Below are 25,380 nucleotides of genomic sequence, written 5' to 3' on the forward strand. Positions count from 1 at the left end.
CCTCCACCCTGCATCCAGAGATAGTGTGAGGATGTTAGTAAACACTCAAACAACGGTGCGCAGAGCAAAGCTGTTATGGGGCCAGCAGAATAGTCATGGACAGTCACCCTTGCCATGGTACATTCCTGGAAATTGCAGCAGGAAGGAGAATGGTCAAAAGGGGATCGCTTTTTGCTGTATCCCTTTGTCACCAGCAGATGGGAATCCTGGGTCAGCAAGGCAGAGTGCTGACCGAGCTTTCCTCTGGATGGTGGAAAACAAAGAGTGGATAGGCTGGGGAGAAAAACAGGAAAACGGGTGTGTTTTCATCTTTGTGGCTGTGCAGATGAGCAATCAATGAAGCAAAGCTGGGATGTTAAGAACTGACTCTATTCTTGATAGAGCTCAAAAGATACCATTGTTCCCTACTGCCCAAAGAAAAACGTCCAAGCTGCTTATGTTGATATCAAGGGCCTCTGCCACCTAGCTGCAGGTGTCCCACCAGCTCCTTGGGCCCTCTGCTAATTCCTGTCTACTCATGCATTTCTGCCACTGTGCTCAGTCATCATTCTCTTGGCCTGCAGTGCTCTGCCCCCAACTCTGTCTGCCAAAATCCTATGCATTCTTCTAATGCATTGGACTAGAAGCCTTGGCACTACTGACATTTGGGGCCAGACAATTCTTTGTTGTGAGGGGCTGTCCTCAGCATTATCCCTGGGCTTTAACTATTAGATGACCCCACTCCAAGTGTGGCAACCAAAAACATCTCCAGACACCACCGAATGTCCTCTCAGAGCAAAACAGCCCCTGCTTGAGAACCACTGTTCTATGCCTAGATCCAGGGCTATTCTTTTTATAAAACCTTTTCCTGAGCTCCTTAGAACAAGGGTTATATGTGTGCCTTCTACACACTTGGTAATGTTCTATTAGCACTTAACTAGCCTTCTTCCAGCTTGCATTATGTGGTTATATCATACCTTCCTCATTAGGCTACAAGTTCCTTAAGAGCAAGGACAATACTGCGTTCATCTTATACAAGCCACAACACCATCTAGAGTAGCAATTAATATTGGCTACTATTTATTGGCTACTAATAAAGTAGTTATTGGCTACTAATAAACTATGGTTTAACTTCTTACTGTTAACATAAGCACAACTCATCTATGTTGATTGTAGAAAAATTTTAAAATATGTAAAAAATAAAACAAAAATCAAAATCATCCACAATCCAACACCCAGCAACAACAGTAGTTAAAATACTGGTAGACTGAATATGGCCCTCTAATACAAGTACACCAGTAAAATACCCTCCAATCTTCCTTCTGTGAGTGGAGAATCCAAGGAAAATATCTGCAGCAGAGGCAGCAGCCCAGGGCCAGACTGACATGGCCAGGGGGGACCATGAGAGCCATCTTGTCCACCCCAGCAGATGCTTGGATCTGCTTTAGAATGCTGTTCTGGACTGTTTGAACCTCTGCACATACAGGAACTTGCTATCATCCCACGCAGGCTGGTCCAGCTTGGGCCACCCTAAGGAGCTCTTTGTTTTACTGACTTAAAATTTGTTACCTGGGATTTCACTCCTTGGTCCAGTCCAAATTCTGCCTCTTTAGCCAAATCGGTCCACTCTCTCTATTTCCCATCGACAGGTCCTGCCCTCCTTCCTCTGCGCTGAGAACTGTGCCTCTCATCCACTAGGATGGGCCCCAGAAGCCAGTTTCATACCACACAACGCTTCCAGGCCCTCAACAGTCAGGTTCTGTCTCACAGGAATTGGCATTGGTACTGAGAAACTTGAGTAATTCCTGCTGGATACTTGAACTAAAGGAATATAAACTCAAGAGTGGGGACTGCAACTGTGCATGGCCGTGCTTGGCCATATACACATGAAAAGTAGAAGTCTAGGGTGAGAGAGAGTCAGAGAGAGTACCAGACACACAGAGAGAGTCGAGCAGATGTGGCCAAAGAAACAGATAAGTGAGACCAGGGCCCAGGGAAGGCTTCCCAACTGCCTTCCAGGTCCCAGGGCCGCATGACTCAGCTGCAACTCCCTGCCTCTTTACAATAAAGAGTTGTTGTTTTGGCTCATGCTAAGGCCAGTTGGTTTTATCTATCTTGGTTCATGTAACCAAAACCAAAAAAGCTTAAAGAGGACTTGACTCAGATACAGCCCTCAAAACCTCTGACAATGGATGCCCTAAAACTTGGGTCCCCTTAGCCTTCTCTCCATCTTGAACTTGCATCCACTGGGGCTGGCCAAGTCCCCTCTGATGAAAAATCATGCATCTCTGTGTACAAAGCCCTTCACGCCTCTGGGTACCACTGACAAACCCAGGTTGCGCTGGCACCAAAAGGTGAGGATCCAATTCAGAAGCTGTCAGAGCCAAGAATCCAATTAAGCAGTATCCAGATGTGAATGAGGTGACCACCAAACGTGTATGTTTGCGTAAAAAGTCACATCACACCAACTAAATACAAGCACCCACAGTGAAGATGTGAGACCAGAGAAGCTGGGAGCTGTCCAACTCCTTCATCCGCATTCTCTTTGAAGCTCCTTGGAGCGGGCTCTAAGTGCTTCTCAGAGCTGATCACAGCACCAGCGGAAACCACAGCAGGCTTTTCCATGGGCATACAGCCCCCACTTCCCTAGGAGCAGATAATGGCAGCCAGCTTGCAAGGTCTTCCTTCCAGTTCCTGCCAGGGTCAGGGGCAAAACAACTCCCTGCATACCGGGCAGGGCATGGGCTTTGCAGTCAGACATAGATTCTCATCTCATTTCTACCACGTATTAGCTTTATGACTTTGATTAAGTTACTGAACTTCTCTAAGATTCAGTCCCCTCATCTATAAAAATAACTAACAACAATTCCTATTTTGAGGATTAAATGAAACAAGAGTTTTCAAGAGACCAGCGTGACAATACCAGAAATACTAGTTTCCTATCTCTCGTCATGTTTATATTAAACTCTTTCATTCATTTTCAAAATTTACTAAATGACAATGTAATGTCAATTTTAAAATATCATTTATGAGAGAGCATCCTCACCACATATGATCAGTTGGAAAATAACAACTTGATTAGGGCTCACTTTATTTTTCAAAGTGTCCTCTAAGTTGCATCAATTCCATAAATGTCGAAGTCAGCAAAAATAAGCGAGAGTATACTTAACACTTCAACAGATGCACCTGTCCAAGAGGCTGCAAGTTTGGTTCCCAGGCAGGTCCAATTCCCTGTAGGCAGATGACTAACCTCTTAAAACCCACATTTGCTGCTGGGATTAACTGGCCAGGAGGCCCCATGCAGATGAATGCCCAGTCATGACCTCCCCCCACCATGACAGCAACAAATGCTTCATCCACACTCCCTTTTCCTTTAATTCCCCATAGGCTTTATAAAGCCAGCCCAGCTTCCTGAAGCTTGACTTCCTCATTAATGGATGTGCAGCTAATGGAGTGCTGCCTGCAGCTTGTGCCCAAAGGTCACCAAGCAGCTTCCTTCCCTCCCCTATTCCAGAAAGCTGTGCAGTCTCTTCAGGAGGCTCCCGGGTCCCAGACTCCAGCCTGGAAAAGGACAGGGAGGCTGAGAACACGGGCCCTTGTCACTGAGGGCCAACCTCCCAGCCTCTAGGGCTGCAATGGGACAGGTTTTTCTCTACAACCTGGCTCCTATCACAAGAAAAGCTGCCGTTTCCTCCAAATGGAAACAACAGCCAATGAAGCCATTGGTGCTTCGGTTTTTTGCTTCTATCTCTTTAAAGAATTCACAAACCCATCCATCAAAAACTGAGGATGAGAGTAGAGACTGGCACAGTCTGGGGAGACAATTTGGCATTATTTCTCAAACCTTAACAGTGTTGCTATCCTCTGATCCAGTAATTGCACTTCTGGGAATCTATCCAAAAGAAATCATCAGAGGCAAACAAAGATTAACACATAAATATGTTCCATGGTGTTCTTATGTCCAAAGCTGAAAATGATATAAACATCCAACAATAAAGAAAGAATTGGCTATAAAACATTAAAAGGTCACTAAAATCTTATCTTAGGACTCTTGTGGGCAATAAAGTATTAATATATTAATGTTAAGTGGAAATGCAAGATACACAGTAACTTCAATCATAAACTTTTTGTATTCAAAAAGTCTTAAGGACCCCTCCAAAATGTATCTCCAGGTAATGGAATTATGAGTAATTTTTATTTTCTTCTTTATCCTTTCCTTTTCTTCCCCATCCTATTGACCACAGTAGCATTTGACCCTTCATCCATGACAGATCCTTTGTACTGTCATGATACAAAGATGAGTGGGACAGTCCTGCATCTCACTGAGTTCAAGTGTAGCTACGGTCCACTCGAGCAGATCATCACACCCATAATGAATGCTCTGAAGGCTGAAGCTGAATTGCTTTTTAAAAAAATATTTTTATTTTTTAGAAATGGGGTCTTGCTCTGTCACCCAGGCTGCAGTGCAGTGGCACCTTCTTAGCTCACTGTACCTTCGAATTCCTAGGCTCACGTGATCCTCTGACCTCAGCCTCCTGAGTAGCTAGGACTACAGGAGTACACCACGATGCCCGGCTAATTGTTTTTTTTTTTTTTTTTTTTTTTGGACAGAGTCTCGCTCTGTTGCCCAGGCTGGAGTGCAGTGGCATGATCTCGGCTCACTGCAAGCTCCGCCTCCCAGGTTCAAGTGATTCTCGTGCCTCAGGCTCCTAAGCAGCTCAGACTACAGGCCTGCATCACCAGCCTGGCTAATTTTTTTTGTATTTTTAGTAGAGACAGGGTTTCACCATGTTGGCCAAGCTGGTCTCAAATTCCTGGCCTCAAGTGATCCTCCCAATTCAGCCTCCCAAAGTTTTGTGATTACAGACATGAGCCACCACGCCTGGCTGCCTGGCTAATTAAAAAAAAAAATTGTATAGAGATGGGGTCTTGCTATGTTTCCCAGGCTGGTCTCAAACTCCTGGGCTAAAGTGATCCTCCTGCCTTGGCCTCCCAAAGTGCTAGTGTTACAGGTGTGAGCCCCACACCAGGCCTAAGGCTGGACTTCCAAATCAGCAACTTCTAAGGGCAGGAGATGTTCCAGCAGATCTTGAAAGGTGAGCAGGGATTTGGTAGGTTCTGGAAGAAGGTAGGGTAGGGGAGGCATTTCAGGAGGGGAGAACAGCATGAATAAACCCCAGAAACATGAGAGAGCATGGTGGGTTTGCAGCTACAAATGGCTCAGTGCAGCTGGGTCAGGCAGAAGCTAGGCTGAGGGGAGGAATCACCCCCAGAGCACATCTGACAGCATCCATCCAAAGGGTGAGAAGAGGAGGAAAAACTGAAGAGGAAGGTGGCTAGGCTGGTGACTGAAAATATGAAGCCGACCTACTAGCACAGGGTGCGACACTTGGTAGATATGTAGTAAATAGGAATGATTGAATGAATGTACGAGTGGTGAAGGTACAGCACAGAGGTTACAAAAGCAGTTTACAACCCAGGCTGTGAAGGGAACCAGAGAGTTGAAGATCCCCTCTAAGGAAGGTGGGTGAAGAGCCATTCGCACAGGTGCTCTTATGGTCTCCCAGGACTCATCAATATTCCAGCAAAACAAAGGAACAATTTCTGTAAAACCATTAGCAACCAAGCCCTCGATTTCACAGTGAAGAAAGATGAATGTATCCAAATTTGTCACAGCAGTAACTAGATAAAAGATGAGTCTACTCTGGATAAGGGGAAAGACTACGGATGCCACCACAATTCCCTTCCTTCAGGTTCAGCTGCCCGAACTCTGTTGTTTTATTTCCAATCGCAGACTCTCAGGGTGGGAGGGGGACTTTAAAGCTTATCTACCTACCCCCTAAAAGAAAAAAGCAATGCTTCAATCCTTTGCATCCACAAGCTCCTCCCTTCTAATTTTCATTTAGCAGACACAAACCCGCATTCCCCTCCCAAAGCCGCTATCATTGCTGGAGTGCTTGTTAAGAAGTTAAGCAAACAAAGACCATCTCCCTGCTCCAGCTTACATCAAGGATGAAAACAATGCCCCTGAAACACAACCTGTTTGGCATAGCTATGCTGCCCAATCCCTCTGTTATAAAGACCACCCACCTTCACCCCCACCCCTGGGCACCCACCACAGGACTCTGTCTCCAGCTAGAGGTGATGTGACCAAAGTTGGGCCCAAAATGCTCTCAGATTTTTTTCCCCAGGAATATAGAATCATGGCTGAGATGTCTGCAGGTTACTTAAAACAAAGACTGTAAACTTAAGCAGCTATGGGGTGGCCACATCTGGCCAAATGCTCACCAGAAGAGAGACGGATGTCTCCAGAGAGAAGATTGAAACAGACAGAAGCAGAGACACTTCATGCTAAGACAGACAGGCAGACAGGCTCTATGGGCAAAGTCAAGTCTTCATTTTTTTTTTTTAAGCTTACCATTGGTACCTAGACGAGGTACCTTGTTAGATGTTCAACAGATATACAGATATTGGTTAAATGAATTAAAAGGGGGAAAGGAGAGAGAGACAGACAGACACAGAAGCTGTGTGGGTTCTGCGCCCTCATGAGGCCCAGATGGTCCCTCTAGTCTTAACAGTCCAGGAGCTGGGCCAGTATCCTTCCCATAAATGTCCTCGCTTGCTCAAGCTGGTGTGAAGCAGGCTTCTGTTACTTGCATCCAAAGGAATCTCCCTGAGACATCCCCAAGTTTGGCCCCAGCCCTCTGCCTTTCTGTGTACCCGTTTCCTCCCTCAGGGCAAGCCCCTGCACTCTGGTCTGCACCAGCTGAGCAAGCTCAGCATCCACATCAGCCCAGCTGCTCTCCTGTCTCTAACAGCCTGTGGGAGATTTCCTCTTGGATCACATATCCTTGCCTTAAGCCAATTTCCCTATTCCAGGAGCTCTCAAACTTGAGAGGCATGAAAATCACCAGGTGGGCTTGTTAAAACACAGATTGCCAGGCCCACCCCCAAAATGTCTGATTCAGCAGGTCTGAGGTGGGGCCTGAACATCTGCCCTTCTACCAAGTGCCCCTGGTCCCCCACTGAAGACCCCTGCCCTCTGTACCACCATCTGCCACTCAGATTTGCCTCTTCCTTCCCTCCCTTGGCACCTGCAGCCAGCAGGCTCCAGGCTTTGGACTTTTCCTCTGTAGGAACTTTTCTCCTCAGCCCTTCCTTATTACTCTCACAACTCCAGCCCTCCTCATTGCATGCCCGGAGGACTCGAGAAACTTCTAACCAGCTTTCCTCCCATTTTGGCTCACCTAGCGCCTCACTGCCAGATTCCTCTGCCTGAGGTACAGTTCTCCTCGGGCCACTCGCCTGCTCGTAACCTTTGGCTATTACGAAAAAGGCTGCTAAGAATATTGGAGTAAAGTCTTATGTGGACATATGTTTTCATTTTGCTATGAAAGAGGATAAGTATATATTTAACCTAATTTTAAAACTGCCAAACTTTTTTTTAAGTGGCTGTACCATTTCATTCCCTCCCTCCCCATCACCTTTGAATGACACCATATGGACTATTAAATTTTTTCCAGATTCCGGGGCTTGACTTTCCAACATCTTGCAATCCAGCCCATACCTGCTGATCCAGCCAAAACCAACATACCACATAAATTCTAACCCAGTCTTCAGTATGTTCATGCTGTGTCCTCATTCTCTCTTAACCCTTCTGAAATCCCAAATCAGGTCTCTCTTCTGTGAGACCTTCTCCACCACCCTAGCCTAAAAACACAAAGGCTCCTCTTCCCAAAACACAGAATACACAAAAATATTTGAGTCAAGATAATCTAGCTCTCCATCCCACCCTTTTCTTGAAAAAGTATGATAATAATAAAATACTCCCAGTTTGCTCAAACTGTTACCTAGTCTTTACTCATCCATCAGAAAAAAACACAAAGACAATGGAAGGATTTTATGTAAAACTATCTACAGTACTGCAATAAGCAACATTTTTCCAGAGGCTGGGGACAAGCAGTTACTGTAACCTTATCAAATGAAAGAACAAAATGCATTTCCCTGTCCTCTGATGAGCGTTATCTGATCTACAAATTGGTGTTTGGTAGTAGTTCTCCTAACAGATCTCAAAGACCCTAATAGAACACATGTATTTACTCTTACACATTACTTATTCAGAGGCCAGGGCAGAGATTCTTACAGGCCTCACACTGCTGGTCCCCATGGTAGGGGGAATAAATCAGTACTCTGTGTGAAAAGCAACATGATGGCATGTACCAAAAGTCCTTTGATAGTTTCCTGTTGGGAGCCAAAAGAAAAAAAAAAAAACCCTTTTGAAAAGCCACACCTGGCCAGGCACAGTGGCTCATGCCTGGAATCCCAGCACTTTGGGAGGCTGAGGTGGGCGGATCACCTGAGATCAGGAGTTCGAGACCAGCCTGGTCAACATGGTGAAACCCCATCTTTACTAAAAATATAAAAATTAGCCGGGCATGGTGGTGACCGCCTGTAGTCCCAGCTACTCGGGTGCTGAGGCAGGAGAATCGCTTGAACCTGGGAGGTGGAGGTTGCAGTGAGCCGAGATCACGCCATTGTACTCCAGCCTGGGCAACACAGCAATACTGTGTCAAAAAAAAAAAAAAAAGTCACACCTATTTATCCATGTTCTACTTTATGGAATCTAGCATAAGGAAAAGACCCCAAAAAACAAATGAGTAGACCATACCATTACCTATAGTCACACACACAAAATCAGAAACAACCTAAATGTCTAACAAATAGAGGCATGGCTCTTACATTTCCTTTATTTATTTATTGTCCATTTGTGCCCAAAAGGATTTATGATACACTTAAGTAAATTGTGTTCAACTTACTAGAATGGATACAGCCATTAAGAATGATATTTAGGGCTGGGTGCAGTGGCTCATGCCTCTAATCCCAATACTTTGGGAGGCCAAGACAGGAGGATCACTTGAGCCCAAACGTTTGAGACCCGCCTGGGCAAGAGTGAGACCCTGTCTCTACAAAAAATGTAAAAATCAGCTGGGCGTGGTGGCACATGTCTGTAGTCCCAGCTTTGCAGGAGGTTGAGGCTGCCATGAGCCGTGATGGCGCCACTGCACTCCAGGTCTGGGCTACAGAGCAAGACTCCGTCTCAAAAAAAAAAAGACAAGAAAAGAAAAAAATGCTATTTACAAAATGTTTGAAACAGAAGACTTTCTATTACGTTACCAAGAGAAGTGAAATACAAAATTCTTAATATGTATAATTACAATAATATATTTTTACAAATTAAGTTGACAAATAGAAAACTAGAAGAAAGATTCTCTACAATGTTATTGGCAGTTGTGGTAGGATGATGGAAAGAGTGATAACATTTCCTTTCCATATAAATATTTTCCAATTAATTGGCTCATTTAAAAAACATGTCTTAAAATAAATATAGAAACTAAACAGGGGTTGTCAGGCATTCCCTATCATACAGCTCAGAGAAAATCACCTGTCCTTGAGATATAAATATGGGTCAGATCACTAGAACAAAAGGAAGATAAATGCAAAGAACTCACGGAGGCATGGGAAGATCCTGGCCATCAGCCAGTGCACACTGCTAAGAATCTCTTAGATGCAAGATCCAAAGGCAATAATGCAAGTGGTAAAGGCTGAGCTATTCCATTTGACAGCATTACAGAAAAAAGGGGGCAAGCATATTTGATGTGTGAATGGCACTTTTAATATGACAGAACACAGACCATGTTTTAAAAGGTTGATGCCCAGACTAGGCAACATGGTGAAACTCCATTTCTACTAAAAATACAAAAAAAAATTAGCTGGGCGTGGTAGTGCACGCCTGTAGTCCCAGCAGTCTCAGCTATTCAGGAGGCTGAGGTGGGACGATCGCTTGAGCATGGCAGGCGAAGGTTGCAGTGAGCTGAGGTTGCACCACTGCACTCCAGCCTGGGCAACAGAGGGAGTGGTAGAGGAGTAACAACTAGGATTTCTCCTTGTGGTTTCAGAACCGCCCTGGGTCTGCTTCCCTAAGGAGCTTGCCGTGACAACTGGAAGGGCATGTACAGCAGGGAACTGGTCTGAAGAGCTGGAGTGAGGCTTGAGCGCTGTCACTCACCAGTGGACCCTGGGCAGTCACTCAGCCTCTCTGCTCTTCTGTTCCTCACTTGTAAAGTGGGAAGTGTCTTGGTAGAGGTTCTTTTGGTTATAAGTAACAGAAATGGACTCAAACTGGCATAAGCAGTAAAGAGAATTTGTGGGGAGGACACGGGTGCAGGGAGGGTTTAGCATACAAACCCCAAGGCAGCTGGGCCTTGTAACAGTCTAGAACTAGGGACTGGAGAGTCCTGGAAGGCCAGGCCATGTGTCTGCCACCTCGGCATTCTCCAGTGTCTCCATCACTCCTCCTCCTCTGCTGACCCACCTCCCACACTGTCATGAATTTGTTTAATATAGGTGCTGCCTTGGCATCCACCTTTAGGCCTGACATGAGTTATCTGAAACACAGTAGCACTCTGTCACCTTTGGCCTAGTTAAAAATACCCCTCGCTGTGGGGGAATTACATTTCTCTCTCTCCAGCCCGCTCCTGTCACTCCCTGGGTGAGCTCCCTGCCACTTCCAAACTTCCCCTCGGCCTCCCGTCAGCACCCCTAACCTCTCTGGACCTGTAAGTAATAAATGTCTTCTCTTTCACACATTTTGGTTTCACCTCCTCACTGTATTTCACCTGACTGGCAGACCCAAACCTAACTTCCCCCTGGTCAAGGCTATCTTGGCTTACAGCCACTCTCAGGAGAGACCTGAAGACCAACTTTGAAAGAAATCACAACACACGTGCTCTTCATGTAAACTGCTCTTCAATCCACACGGCCAAACACGGCCTTCACACCTCTTGACTCTTACTCTTTACAGCTCCTGCCTCTTGAATTCGTCAGCTCAGGCTGCCATAACAAAAAACACTACAGACGGGATGGCTTAAACAACAGAAATCCATTTTCCCACAGCACTGGAAGCTGGAGGTCTGTGATCGGGTGCCAGCATGGTCAGGTTCTGGTGAGGGCTCTCTTCCTAGCTTGCAGACAGCCAGCTTTTGGCTGTGTCCTCACATGGTGGGAAAAGAGAGGCAGGAAAGCTCTCTAGTGTCTCTTCCTCTAAGGATACTAATCCCATCATAAAAGCCCTACCCTCATGATCCCATCTAAACTTAACTATCTCCCAAAGGCCGCATCTCCAAATACCATCACATTGGGAATCAGAACTTCAAAATACGAATTTGGGGGGGCAATTGGCTGCCTCTGAATCTAACGTCTGTGTTTCCAGGAGGGGGAAAATATAATTGGCTCAGCTTGGGTCAGGTGTCCATGTGTGATCCAACCAGCCATAGCCAAGTGGAGAGGGCAGGTCGTGCAGCACAAACAAGGCTGCCGGGGGCCTACCATGATCACCAAGCATGTCTGTACCTTGCCACCATAATGAAAAGCCACAGGGAATCAGGTCAAGAAGTAGTTACTTCCCGTTTTCCCCACAAAACTAAGCACTGGATAAGGGTCATGTCTGTCTTATTCAGCATCGCCTCCCCATGGTCCATCACAGAACTGGGCACATGCATGATGCTCAATGGCTCTGTTGTCCTTTTACAGACAAATGAGGCTGGACTTGCTCAGAGCATAATGATGTTTCAACAATGGACGGCACATACAACAGTGGCCCCATAATTATAATACTGCATTTTTACTGTATGTCTTCTATGTTTAGATACACAAATACCACTGTGTTACAACTGCCTACAGTATTCAGTATAGTAGCATGCTGTGCAGGTTTGCAGCCTAGGAGCAATAGGCCATACCATGTAGCCTAGATGGGTAGCAGGCGGTACCACCTAGGTTTGTGTAAGTACACTCTATGATGTTCACACAATGAAAAAATCATCTAGTGACACAGTTCTCAGAACATACCCCTATTATTAAGCAATGCATAACTGTATATAGACATATCATCACCTTCTAGGGGCCAGAGCATGCTTTCCACCCTAAAGATCAAGATTCTCCTTCAAGTCAACCTTCAACCTTTCTAATCTTTCCTAGATGAGGAAAATTATCCTCCATCATTACTTCTCTCTCCTCCCCTTTCTCTCTCTCTCTCTCTCTCTGTGTATGTGTGTGTGTGTATGTGTAGTAATAACAATGTACGGTGTATAGAGGATAAAAGGAAGCAAAAGACAGGCTGTGTGCCTTCAAAGGACTATGATATAAACTTAAGAGGCAAGACATAAACACTGGTGAAGTTAAAAGAAACAAATCTATGAGTTAAGAAATACAAAAACACACATGATACCTCTGGACAGCTATGTAGGTCATTGTCCAATAATTGGTGCTAGCAGTGTGTGCTTTGAGGTGGCAGAACAAAGAATCTACTTCAGTCTAGAAGGGTCTAGGGAAGAAAAAGTAGATAGATACAGCTAAGGGAGGGAGGAGAGATGGCACTCTGGAGAGGGTAGTGATGATTCAAGCCAATTCACGGAAATCAGGAATAGTCATAGGAACTGAAGTTCCCCTAGGACTAAATTATGGGGTGACTGAACACCAATGCAAACTTCTAGATGGAATTATTAAAATAATTGTGAGCACTAGAAAGGAAAGAGAAAAATACCGGGAGCCTGCACCAGTCCTGCCAGGTTCTGCCCGCATGGTGCCAGGCTGCCCTTATTTCCTCCTGCAACAGGGGGGCCAGCAGGGGCCGATGGGTTTTTAAAGGTAGTGGACACTGCATTAGTTTCCTAGGGCTGCAGTAACAAAGTACCATAAATTTCCTAGCTTAAAACAACAGAAATTGTTTCTCTCATCATTCTGCAGTCTAGAAGTCTAAAATCAAAGTATCATGAGGGCCACGTTCCCTCTGGAGGATCTAGGGGAGGATTTTCCTTGCCTTTTCCTAGGTTCTCACAGCTGCTGTCAATCCCTGGAGTTCCTCGGCCTGGACGGGCATCACTCCAATCTGGCTCAATTGTCACACAGTATTCTGCATGTCTCAATCTGTGTCCAGATTTTCTTTTTATAAGGATACCAATCACTGGATTGGGACTAACCCTAATCCAGTATGAACTCATCCCAACTTGATTACATTTGCAAAGACTCTATTTCCAAATAAGGTCACATTCTAAGGTTCCAGGTGGACATGAATTTTGGAGAGACATTATTCAACCCAATGTAGACACTGAGTATCTGTCACCCCTATGTGCTGGCCTTAGAAGCTACCTGCCATGTAAGATCCCGTTCTACCATCCTGCACTGGCAGTGACTTGATGCACAGCTATCACAGAGGTCACCAATGGAGGAGTCCCTGTGCTGGGACAAGACGGAACTAGATGACTTCTAAAATTCCTTCTGATTTGCACATGTGTGGTTCAAGTCCTGCCGATTGTTCCCATTCTACTGATTTGCCAATGCAGCCCTCTCTTTTCATTCTCACCGCCAAGACTCGGGTTCAGCCCTTGTTGCTTCCAACTTGACACAGACACACTGCTTTCACATCACTCCTCCTGACAAACCCTCACCAGCTCACCCCTGCCTGAAAGCAAAGTTCTGTATTTTGACCTCAACATCTACCTTTACCACCTGAACTCCTAAGATGACACTAATTTTCAGGCCAGTCTGGTCCTTCAAGTGGCACAATCTCACCATCACACATAACTTCATACTGGCTGCAGAAGGGAATCCAAACTGTGTTTGGAAGACCATTTACTCCCCTTCCATGCACCCTCCCTGGACCAGCCAGTCCAGCCCACAGCACTTCTGCGTTTCAACGATTCTTCCTGCTTGCAGAAGCACTGGACCCTAATCTCATTGCCCTGCACTATAAATGATCCATTCATGGAGATGGGGCTGCAGCAACACTTAGGCAAAGACAACACAAGAGCTGTAAAATCAGACAGATTTGAATTTGCTTCACGGCTCTAATATGTAATGTTTAAGAACTGAACAACAGGAGTTTGAGGCTGCAGTGAGTGCTGATCATGCCACTGCACTCCAGCCTGGATGACAAAGTGAGACCCTGTCTCCAAAAAAAGAAAAAAGAGCTGGGCAAATTCCTTACCCTTTCTAAACCTCTGATTGCTTATCTGTAAAATGGAAATAATAGTACCTACCCCATGGGGCTACAGTCAGGGTTAAGAGAAATAATGTATGCAGACTTTCAATGCAACATCTGACATAAAGCATACTTGTAAATTATGTGTCAACAAACATACTTATTTTTATTATGGTAAATGGATCTAAGTTTTGCCTTTAGGTCTGGGAATCAAGGCACAGATCCTGTGTTCCTCTGGCACCTAGCAGCACACTGCCAATGACTACTCAGAGTGACAGACATCAGTTCAGACGGGAACCCCAGAGAGCATTTAGCTACCATCCTTCTTCTTCTGCTTTTTTTTTCTTTTTTAGTGTGAACAGCCAATTTTGCTTAAAATTCTGGGACACAGAGCAAGTTTATATCACAGAAAAGCAAATGGATTAAAAGAATATCAGAAATTATTTTATTTTCTTTTATTCTGAGACAGAGTCTTGCTCCGTCACCCAGGCTGGAGTGCAGTGGCACAATCACAGCTCACTGCAGCCTCAACCACCTGGGCTCAAGTGATCCTCCCGCCTCAGGCTCCCTACACCCTGAGTAGCTGGGACTACAGGCATGTACCACCATGCCTGGCTGGTTTTTCTTTTCTTTTCTTTTTTTTTTTTTTGGTGTGTAGAGACAAGGTCTTGCTATGTTACTAAGGCTAGAGATCCTTTTAAAATGTCTTTCTGCTAAGTTGTTGGGCCATCACCTCTCCTTTGTTTCCTTCTCCTCTCCCAGCTTCTCTGGATTCCATCTGTTTCTTATACTGAGAAGTTTGCTACCTAGCTAGCCCTCAACCTCTTTGTTTTATGAATGGAAAGGCTGGGACCCAGACAGGGCAAGTGACTCACCCAGTGTCACAGAGCTGTTAAATGGCAGAGCCATGATTGAATCGGGCCATGACTACTTTCCTACATGACATATTGAAACCAGTTTGAGCCTCGGTTTCCTCTCTGGCAAAACAGAGATACTAATGCCCACCTCCCCAGTTTGCTTTGAAAATACAGAATCAAGGGCCAGGCCAGTGATGGAAAAGACCAGGTGTGAGATGAGACATGGTCACCACCACAGCCTGCAGTAACTGGGCCAGGTGGGGCTAGGCAGATCAGGGAGCACAGGCCCTGGGAGCAGCCACCCCTCAGCTTGGCTGATGCTGCCCTGATGGAATCATCCTGCAGTGCCAGATCTTCTGACTCTTCAAGAGAAGCCCAAAATTTGAATTTTGGTGCCACATCTCTCTATTTAAGTAGATTCAAATTTAAAACACCACAAGCTAAACAAGCAACATGCAGGCTGATTTCAGCCAGGAGCCACCACGTTTGTGACTTTGTATCCAACCACAGATGTGAAGCCATTTGCAAACTGCCAAGTAGCAGACTAATGGGAAGAAAAGGCTGACCCACAGTGACTGGAATGATCTATCTACCCAGGAAGCTTCTGCAAATTCTCCCGGGAGCAGTGCTCCCACCTGAGTGACTTCACCAAGCCCCACAGTGCCTTACCTCCTGCCAGGAAGGCCACAACCACAGCTGATCTCATCCTGCTGCCAGCCCAGTGGCAGCAGCTTGGATGCCTGGCTGTCAGCTGAGAAATTTGCCCATGCCCTATAGGGAAACCACCTCCCCACCTGGAGTCTCATTAAACTGGATGAGTTGCCTCCAGGAACATGCTGAGCCTCAGTCTCACCCTGGAAGGCACTGCAGGGCTGGGCTGGCTCAGACTGACCTCAGAGTTTGGATCCCAGCCTCTCTTGAGCTAAGGCAGGCCCAGGTGGGGTGAGCAGGCTGGCTGGGGTGAGCCAGCTAGGACAGGAGGCCTAGCGACAGGGCTAGACTGTTACAAAAGAAGATGGAAAAGAGCCTCTCCAGCCACTCCTTAAAGGTACTCTCTTAGGTCTGGGCAGGTAGAAGCCACAGGAACGGACCAGCCAATTCTGCACTCCTCACCTCCTCTTCTTCCCCAGTGTGCTTTTGGGGAGGCAGTTTTTTCTTTTTTTTTTGAAACAGGATCTTGCTCTGTTGCCCAGGCCGGAGTGCAGTGGCGCGATCTTGGCTCAGGAGGCTGAGGTGGGAGGATTGATTGAGCCCAACAAGCAGATGCTCAATCAATCTTCCCACCTCAGCCTGCTGAGTAGCTGGGACTACAGGCATGCGCCACCATACCCAGCTAATTTTTCTATTTTTTCTAGAGATGAGGTCTCACTGTGTTGCCCAGCCTGGTCTCAAACTCCTGAACTCAAGCTATCCACTCACCTCCGTCTCCCGAAGTGCTAGGATTATAGGCATGAGCCACTGTGCCCGACCTGGAGGCAGTTCTTAAGGCTCTGGCCTCTTTCCTCCTTGGTCTCCTGTCCTCATGAGCTCTTCACCATAAACATCAAAGACCCTGCAGGGCCCTTGAGACCCTGGAGGGTCTAAGAGGGTGTATCTAGCTCAGAGTAGCCGGGACTCTTAGAGACGTAGAAGATGGGATGGTATGAACAATCAGGGAAGCTGCCTGCCAGGAGGGTGAGCCCCTCCCTGCTCCAAGGACCCTGGGAAGCACAGTCCCGTAGCCAAGGTCACTCAGCTCAGCAAGGGCTGAGTGACACCCCCAAGTCACATCCAGTCCGGGGCCAGATAGTGTTGCTGGCACTATGGTGCTCTCGTTTGTCTGGCTCCAGCCCCTGGCTTGCTGGGTAACCTGCACAGCCTGCCTAGCTCCAGCTTACAATTTTATCATCTGGGGAAGAGACAAGTAATGTCCACCTGTACGACTGCTGCATTAATTAAATTATTAGAGCCTTACATGAGAAATGCTGTGAGGCAAAACTCCAGTTGTTTCCCTCAGTGGTGACCCACATCTGGCTCACAGTGCCAGCTCACTCAAGACCAGATGATAGAGTGCACCTGCTGAGTGAATAAAGAACGGCATGGCACAACAGCTGCTGCACAGGGGGTACTCAGTAAAGTGTTTTATACCCTCATGGATACCAAAACTCTTTGGTGGATGTTGGTGGTTTTGGATAGCCCACAGGTCCAGTTGGCTTTAGTATTGGTAAGAGGACCCAGATGCTCTCTGGGTCACCATCCCAGTGCCATGTGCTTGGACAACTGATCTTATTCCCAGATCCAGGGTGGGTCCTGGCTGGTTTCAGTCAAACACATCCCATGCCCATGCCATAGGGAGTGGCTCAATGACAAGTATGTGACCAAAATCAGGAGAGCTAAAGGCTTGCTAGGGACTTCAGAGGAAAAGCTTCCTTGTCTCCCATAGGAGATGCTCTCTCTCTGGGAGAGATGCCTTCTTTCTGCTGGACACACAAGAGGGCTTCAAGGCTCCTAGAAGCCGCCAGCAGCCAGGGGAGCCAGGCTTAATCTGAAACAGGCACCAACCAAAGAGTACAGACGAGACACCAGAAAACCTGATGCTCTGGTGACAATCTTGAGCTGCCAGATCAAGCCTCACTTGAAATCAGCACCATTCTAGACTTTTAAGATGTGTGAGCCAGCCTCAGTTGTATTACTTTTTCTAAAACCAAAAGAATTTTAACTGATATACCTGCAAACCTAAAAAATAATCTAAAGGGGCCAGGTGCGGTGGTTCACGCCTGTAATCCTAGCACTTTGGGAGGCTGAGGCAGACGGATCACCTGAGGTCAGAAGTTCAAGACCAGCCTAGCCAACATGATGAAACCTCATCTCTACTAAAAATACAAAACAAAAAAAAATTAGCCGGGTGTGGTGGTGGGTGCCTGTAATATCAGCTATTTGGGAGGCTGAGGTAGGAGAATCACTTGAACCTGGCAGGCAGAGGTTGCAGTGAGCCGAGATCGTGCCATTGCACTCCAGCCCAGGCAACAAGAACGAAACTCTGTCTCAAAAAAAAAAAAAAAAAAAAATCAAAAGGGCCAGGCGTGGTGGCTCATGCCTGTAATCCCAGCACTTTGGGAGGCCGAGGTGGGCAGATCACCTGAGGTCAGGAGTTCGAGACCAGCCTGGCCAACATGGTGAAACCCTATCTCTACTAAAAATATAAAAACTAGCTGGGCGTGGTGGTGCATGCCTGTAATTCCAGTTACTCAGGAGGCTGAAGCAGGAGAATCACTTGAACCCAGGAGGCAGAGGTTGCAGTGGGCCGAGATCGTGCCATCGCACTCCAGCCTGGGGGACAAGAGTGAAACTCCATCTCAAAAAAATAATAATAATAATCAAAAGGAGACCATGGTTTCGGGCAGTATCAGACAAGATACCCTGACTTACTGTCCCACTGAAAACAGTAAAAAATTCTGGATTCAAAGAAATTGTAAATCTTTTACCAAGTGGTTGAGTTTGCCATCACCAATTGTGAGACAGTCTGACACTCTGACCTCCTGACAGGAGGCGGTCGAGGGTGCACCTCCTCATCAATGTGGTGGTGTTGCCACAATTGTCAGACCTGGGTCTAATCATTAGGATGAGTCCGACACATGCAGAACACTCTCCACACAGCCGACCCGGACTCTTCAATAAATCGGGGCAACTGTTCTAGGTTGGTCAAAAGACATAACAGCCAAATTCAGTGTGTGAACTCTAATTGCATCCAAATAGAAACAGGAAAAAAAAACACCAATAAAGGATTTTTTTTGACAAATTTGGGTTAATCTGAGTATGGACCTCATGCTGGATAAAGGTGTGGAATTAGAGTTGAATTTCTTAGGGTGGTAATGGTTTTTTACTGTACAGAACAGTGAGTGATTCTCTGTATCATCTACAGACTCCTAGGGGATCTCAAGAACCTTTCAGGGGATCCCTAAAACCCCTTCAGAGGGTCCATGAGGTCAAAACAATTTCAACAATATTACCAAGACATTTGCCTTTTCGCTGTGTTGAATTTGCACTGATGGTGCAAAACCAATGAAAGGTAAAACTGCCGCTAGTACTTTGCATGAATCATGGCAGTAGCACCAAACTCCACCTGTCACCACTGTGTTCTTCACCACAATACAATAGGGAAAACAAAATCCTGTTCCATTTAAGAATGTCATAGATGATATAGTAAAAATCATCACTTTCATTAAATCCAGACCCTTGAGTATGGATGTTCTTATCATTCTGTGATGAAATAAGTAGCACTCATACAGTGTTTCTGCTGCATACTAAAGTATAATGATTGTCTAGAGGAAAAGCACTTGTGTCACTGAGTTGTGTGCTGAATTATCCGCTTTTTTTCATGGAACACCAGTTACTTGAATGACTGATGAACTCCGGTTATTCAGACCTGGGTATCTTGTAATCCTTTTCTAGAAAAATGATTGATCTCATCAGAAAAAACAAATAGTATTTGTTACCAATGATGAGATTTGATATTTTAAGCAAAAATTAGAATTTTGGACATTTTTATCCTACCATTAACTTAACAGTATCCCAATACTTGAAGGCGTTTCTGATGAAATCAACAGTGATATTAATGCATATGGATTTTGGATATTATACAATAAAATGTGTCAACATTTGAAGATCTGCATCTATTTGGTGAACCAAGTTTCCAAATGACCAATGCATAATGTTAAAAATCATACAGAAAAGATCCACTCAAACTGTAAGACAGACCAACCACCACTAATAAGGTTTCAGATTCCACATTGAAATTAACCTTGATACAAAAAAGACTTACAAAAATGTACAGTACTCTCTTCTTGACATTATTTTGCTTTTTTTCTGGAAAAAGTAGTTTTCTTTTCTTTTCTTTTCTTTTTTTTTTTTTTTTGAGATAGAGTCTTGCTCTGTCACCCAGGCTGGAGTGCAGTGGTATGATCTCGGCCCACTGCAACCTCCGCCTCCCGGGTTCAAGCAATTCTCTGCCTCAGCCTCCCGAGTAGCTGGGACTACAGGTCCATGCCACCAATCCCGGCTAATTTTTGTATTTTTAGTAGAGACGGGGTTTCACCATGTTAGCCAGGCTGGTCTCGATCTCCTGACCTCAGGTGATCCACTTGCCTTGGCGTTCCAAAGTGCTGGGATTACAGGCGTGAGCCACTGCACCCGGCCGAGACCAACAAGTTTGAGAACCACTGGTATAGGAGAGTAATCTTGTCCTTGAGCGCCATACTTTAGTATTTGGGGTGAGGTAGCATGATGTCTGCAGCCTCCTTTCAGATGGTTAGACAAGAGGGAAATGTTTGTATTTATATAAAAAAAGATGGAGCGGATGTGCCAAGGTAAGAATAATGGAAGTATTTTTCGTACTGTTCTTTCAACTTTTATACAGGTTTCCAAACAAAATCAAAAGTGTAATCAATATAAATAATATTTGTAAACATTGATATTCGATATCAGTGTAAAATGCTTTAGAGGCCAAAAGCAAAGTAAAAGCGGAGCCCCAGAAAGGTAAATTAAGGGCGCTTGCTAACTGAAGCACTGAATTTCACATTACAGGGCTTGACAGAGTGTCACGCACAGGAGACATAGTTGAGGGCAATGCTTCTTAAACTTCAGCCTGCATAAGATAGCCTGGAGAGTGTATTAACACACAGATTCCTGGGCCCTAACCTCAGGTATTCTCATTCAGTAGGTCTGGAGGGGGCGAGGCTGAGAATTTACAGTTCTATTAAACTCCTAGGTGAGGTAATGGGATGGTCCCCAGACCACATTTTGAGTAAAACTGACCCAGGGCATCCTTCTATAAAGCTTGGACCATGGTATGCATTAAATTGTTGCTCAAAAAGATATGTTGAAGTCCTAAACCCCAATAACTGTGAATGTGATCTTACTTAAAAATAGGGTCTTGGCGGGGCAGAGTGGCTCACTCACGCCTGTACCCCCAGCACTTGAGGCCAGGAATTCGAGACCAGCCTGGCCAACATGGCAAAACCCCGTCTCTACTAAAAATACAAAAATTAGCTGGGCATGGTGGTGTGCACCTCTGGTTTCAGCTACTTGGGAGGCTGAGGCATGAGAATCACTTGAACCTAGGAGGCAATGGTTGCAGTGAGCCAAGGTTCTGCCACTGCACTCCAGCCTGGGCGACAGAGTGAGACTCTGCCAAAGAAGAAAAGAACGAAAAAAAAAGAAGAAAAGAAAAAGAAAAGGGTCTTTGCAGATATAACCAAGCTAAGGTGAGGTCATTAGGTTAGGGTGGCCCCTAATCCAATATGACTAGTGTCCTTATAAAAGAGGAAAAAAGACAGACACAGGAGAACAGCATGTGACAATGGAGGCAGAGATTAAAGTGACGCATTTACAAGCCAAAGAAGGGCGAGGCTTGCTGACAACCTCCAGAAGATAAGAGAAAGGCAGGGAACAGATTCTTCTCTACAGCTTTCAGAGAAAGCATAGTACACCCTGATTTCAGACTTCTAGTCTGCAGAACTGTGAGAGAATAAATTTTTGTCAGTTTAAGCCACTCAGTTTGTGGCACTGTGTGCCAGCAGCACTAGGAAACTAATTCAGACCCCAAAGCACTACAACATCAGTAAAAGGGTGAAGAGAGAGAAGCCTGCTGCAATCACTAAAGGTTAAAGTAAAAACACCCATTCTCTAGTCATAGCAGCAGGTGAAGAGGAAACCGTATTTCCCCTGAAAACTTGTAACCACTAACCTCATCCTCACATAAGTTTGCAGCCCAAATTTACACTACCAACGTGGTCAAAATTTTAAAATCTCAAGAAATTACTTTTCAGTAGTCCAATATTGGTAGTGTCCCTAGACACCTAACCGAAGCAAATGCAAATCTTCCCTGGAGGAATTCACCTTTGACCCAGGCCTAAAGAACTCCTACAGATGAAATTCCAAGGAATACAAGCTCACAGTGAAAGAAAAGAAAAAATTACAAGACACATAACGCACCTTGATTGGGAGCCACCAGAAAAAAAGAGATCTAAATTGCCCCTGAAAAATAGTTTAGATGCTAGAATTATCAGACTCCGAACATAACATAAATATGTTTAATATGTTTAAAGGAATAAAAAGGAATTTAAAATATGTAGAAGGAACAGACATCATAAAATATGGCCAGTTTTGAAACAGAACTAAATAGAATTTCTAGAATCTAATAATTAAAAAATTGTAAATCAACGGATATGTTTAGCAGCTGATTAGACATGGCTGAGGAGACAGATGTGCACACAATTATTCATAATGCAGCAGTGACAGAAAAATAAATCAGAAATAAGAAATGAAGAGACTTTTTGAGAAAGTTTCACTCTTGTTGCCCAGGCTGGAGTGCAATGGCACGATCTCGGCTCACGGCAACCTCCGCCTCCTGGGTTCAAGCGATTCTCCTGCCTCAGCCTCCTGAGTAGCTGGGATTACAGGTGCCCGCCACCAAGTCTGGCTAATTTTTCTATTTTGTAGAGATGGGGTTTTGCCATGTTGACCAGGCTGGTCTTGAACTCCTGACCTCAGGTGATCTGCCCACCTTGGCCTCCCAAAGAAGTGCTGGGATTACAGGTGTGAGACACCGCACCCGGCCAAAATGAAGAGACTTGAAAGACAGAGTAGGAACATCTAACACATGTCTAATGAGAGTGCTAGAAGAAGAGGGGAGAAGGAATAGGGTGCAGAAGCAATATTGTTAACTAAATAAATTTGAAAAATTACAGAAATGAATTAAGTCCTAAAATAATATTGATCTGAAAAGATCAAATAAACCTATAACTATTAAATACATTGAATCAGTAGTTTAAAATCTTCCTGTTGAAAAAGCCCCTGGCTCTGAGCAGTTTACTGGCAAATTCTACTAACCATTTAAGAAAGACATCCAATATTACACACACTATCTCAGAGTACAGAAAAAGATGAGACACCCCCAGCTTAGTTTATGAGGCTAGCACAATCTTGATACCAAAACCATACAAAAATAACATAGCCAATACCACTCACAAACATAGCTTAAAAAAAATCCTAAATATTAGCAAATCGCCTCCAGGATCATTTTAACTAGAAAAAAGAAAAAACAACTTCATGACCAAATTGGGTTTATCCAGGAAGGCAAGTTTGGTTTAATGGTAAAATTAATTAATGCAATTTACCACTTAGACTAAAGACCAAAAAGAAATCACATTGTCTCAATGAAAGTGTTAGATAAAATATAATATCATTCATTATGAAAACTCTTAGCAAACTATCACTTGAGAGTGACAAAATATATTTCTGAAAACCCTACAGCAAGCATGATACTTTATGGGAAAATGTTGAAGCATCCCTTTTTAAGTCAGGAACAAGACAAGAGTGTCTGCCTCACCAATTTTAGTCATCATGCACTGGGAATCCTAACCAGGGTAAAATGGGGAAATAAAAAAGAATAATGACCAGAAAGGCACAACGCCACACTGTTCTCAAATGACATGACTATTTATCTGGAAAACCAAAAAGAATCTACAGGTAAGCAAGGTTGTATTCTTCCAACAGTTGGAAGATGAAATTTTATTAAGATACTAAATACACTGGCATCAACAAATATCAAATACCTGGGAATAAATCTAACAAATGATGTGTATGACATTTATAGCAAAATTATAAAATTTTATTGAAAGTCATTAAAGAAGACCCAAATAAATAAAGGTAGATACCATATACATGGAGTGCAACAAACATATTAAGAACATCAATATCAGCCAGGCATGGTGGCTCATGTTGGTAACCCCAGCACTTTGGGAGGCCGAGGTGGGGGGATTGCTTGAGGCCAGGAGTTCAAGACCAGCCTGGGCAAAAGAGATAGAACCTATCTCTAAAAATAAAAGATTGTTTTTTTGACAGAGTCTTGCTCTGTCACCCAGGCTGGAATGCAGTGGCACCATCACAGCTCACTGCAGCCTTGACTTCCTGAGTTTAAGCATCTTTCAACCTCAGCCTCCTGAGTAGCTGGGACCACAGCTACTCTTGACCTCCTGGGTGCAAGAGATTCTCCTGCCCTGGCTCAGCCTCCCAAGTAACTGGGACCACAGGTGTGTGCCACCATGCCTGGCTAATTTTTGTATTTATTTTGGTAGAGACAGGTTTTCAGCATGTTGTCCAGGCTGGTCTCAAACTTCTGGGCTCAAGGAATCCACCTGCCTCAGCCTCCCGAAGTGCTAGGATTACAGGCATTAGTCACTGCACCTGGCCCCCAATTTTTTTTTTAATTATCTGGGCGTGGTGGTGCACACCTATAGTCCTAACTACTCGAGAGGCTGAGACCAGAAGGATCCCTTAAGCTCAGGAGTCTGAGGCTGCAGTACACTTCCCCACTGCACTTCAGCCTGGGCAACAGAGTGAGATGTTGTCTCTAAAAAAATAAAAGGCCTCACACCTGGGAGGCCAGGCAGAGGTGGGAGAATTGCTTAAGGTCAGGAGTTCAAGACTAGCATGGGCAAAATAGTGAGAACACAGTGAGACAATGTCTCTACACAAAATTCAAAAATTAGCCAAGCACAGTGGCGTACACCTGTGGTCCCAGCTACTTGGGAGGCTGAGCCAGGGCAGGAGAACCTCTTGCACCCAGGAGGTCAAGACTGCAGTGTGCCATGATTGTGCCACTGCACTCCAGCCTTGGCAACAGAGCCAGACTCTGTCTCCAAAAATTAAAAATAAATAAAGAACATCAATATTCTATTGTTTCGTACATTAAATGCTAGTCCAATAAAAATGACAACAGATTTGTGTGTTTGTGTATGTGCTGTAACACATAACTCTAAGCTAATTCTAAACATGTATTATGGGAGAAGAAAGCACTAAGGCAGGGCCCCCAACCCCTGGGCTGCAGACAAGGACGGAGACTGGTCTGTGGTCTGTTAGGAACCTGGCTGCACAGCAGGAGGTGAGCAGCAGCATTACCACCTGAACTCCGCCTCCTGTCAGATCAGCAGCGGCATTAGATTCTCATGGGAGCACGAATCCTATTGTGAATTGCGCATGTGAGAGACTTAGGTTGCACAGCTCCTTATGAGAATTTAACGAATGCCTGATGATCTGAGGTGGAACAGTTTCATCCTAAAACTGCCCCCCAACCCCCATCCATGGAAAAACTGTCTTCTATGAAACTAGTCCTTGGTGCCAAAAAGGCTGGGGACCACTGCACTAAGGCACTCTTTAAGGAGAACAAGGTGGGGAACTTGCCACGCCAGACATCAAGACTTTTCATAAAGTTCTGGTACTAACACAGCGTGGCACTGTGGCAGGCAGACGAACTATTCAATGGTACAGAATGAAGGGCCCAGAAACAGGCCTGCACATTATAGAAACTCACTTTATGACAGGGCAGGGCACTGCAGGTCTGAAGAGAAAGCATAAACTTTTGAATAAATAGAGCCAGGAAAACTGGCTTTTCATGTGAAGAAAAAAGAAAAAAAGAAAAAAAATTAGACTGCTGCTTCACATCATATATAAAAATCAACTCAAGGTAGA

General features: G+C 44.9%; 1 protein-coding gene across 11 annotated transcripts in view; it reads right to left on the reverse strand.

Annotated features, from left to right (window-relative positions):
- The window catches only part of REEP1 (receptor accessory protein 1), a 124,091-nt gene that overhangs the window by 84,659 nt on the left and 14,052 nt on the right, over positions 1-25,380 (reverse strand). The window lies entirely within an intron of this gene.

This window comes from Homo sapiens, chromosome 2 (genome assembly GCF_000001405.40).
Source record: "Homo sapiens chromosome 2, GRCh38.p14 Primary Assembly".
Lineage (NCBI taxonomy): Eukaryota > Metazoa > Chordata > Mammalia > Primates > Hominidae > Homo > Homo sapiens.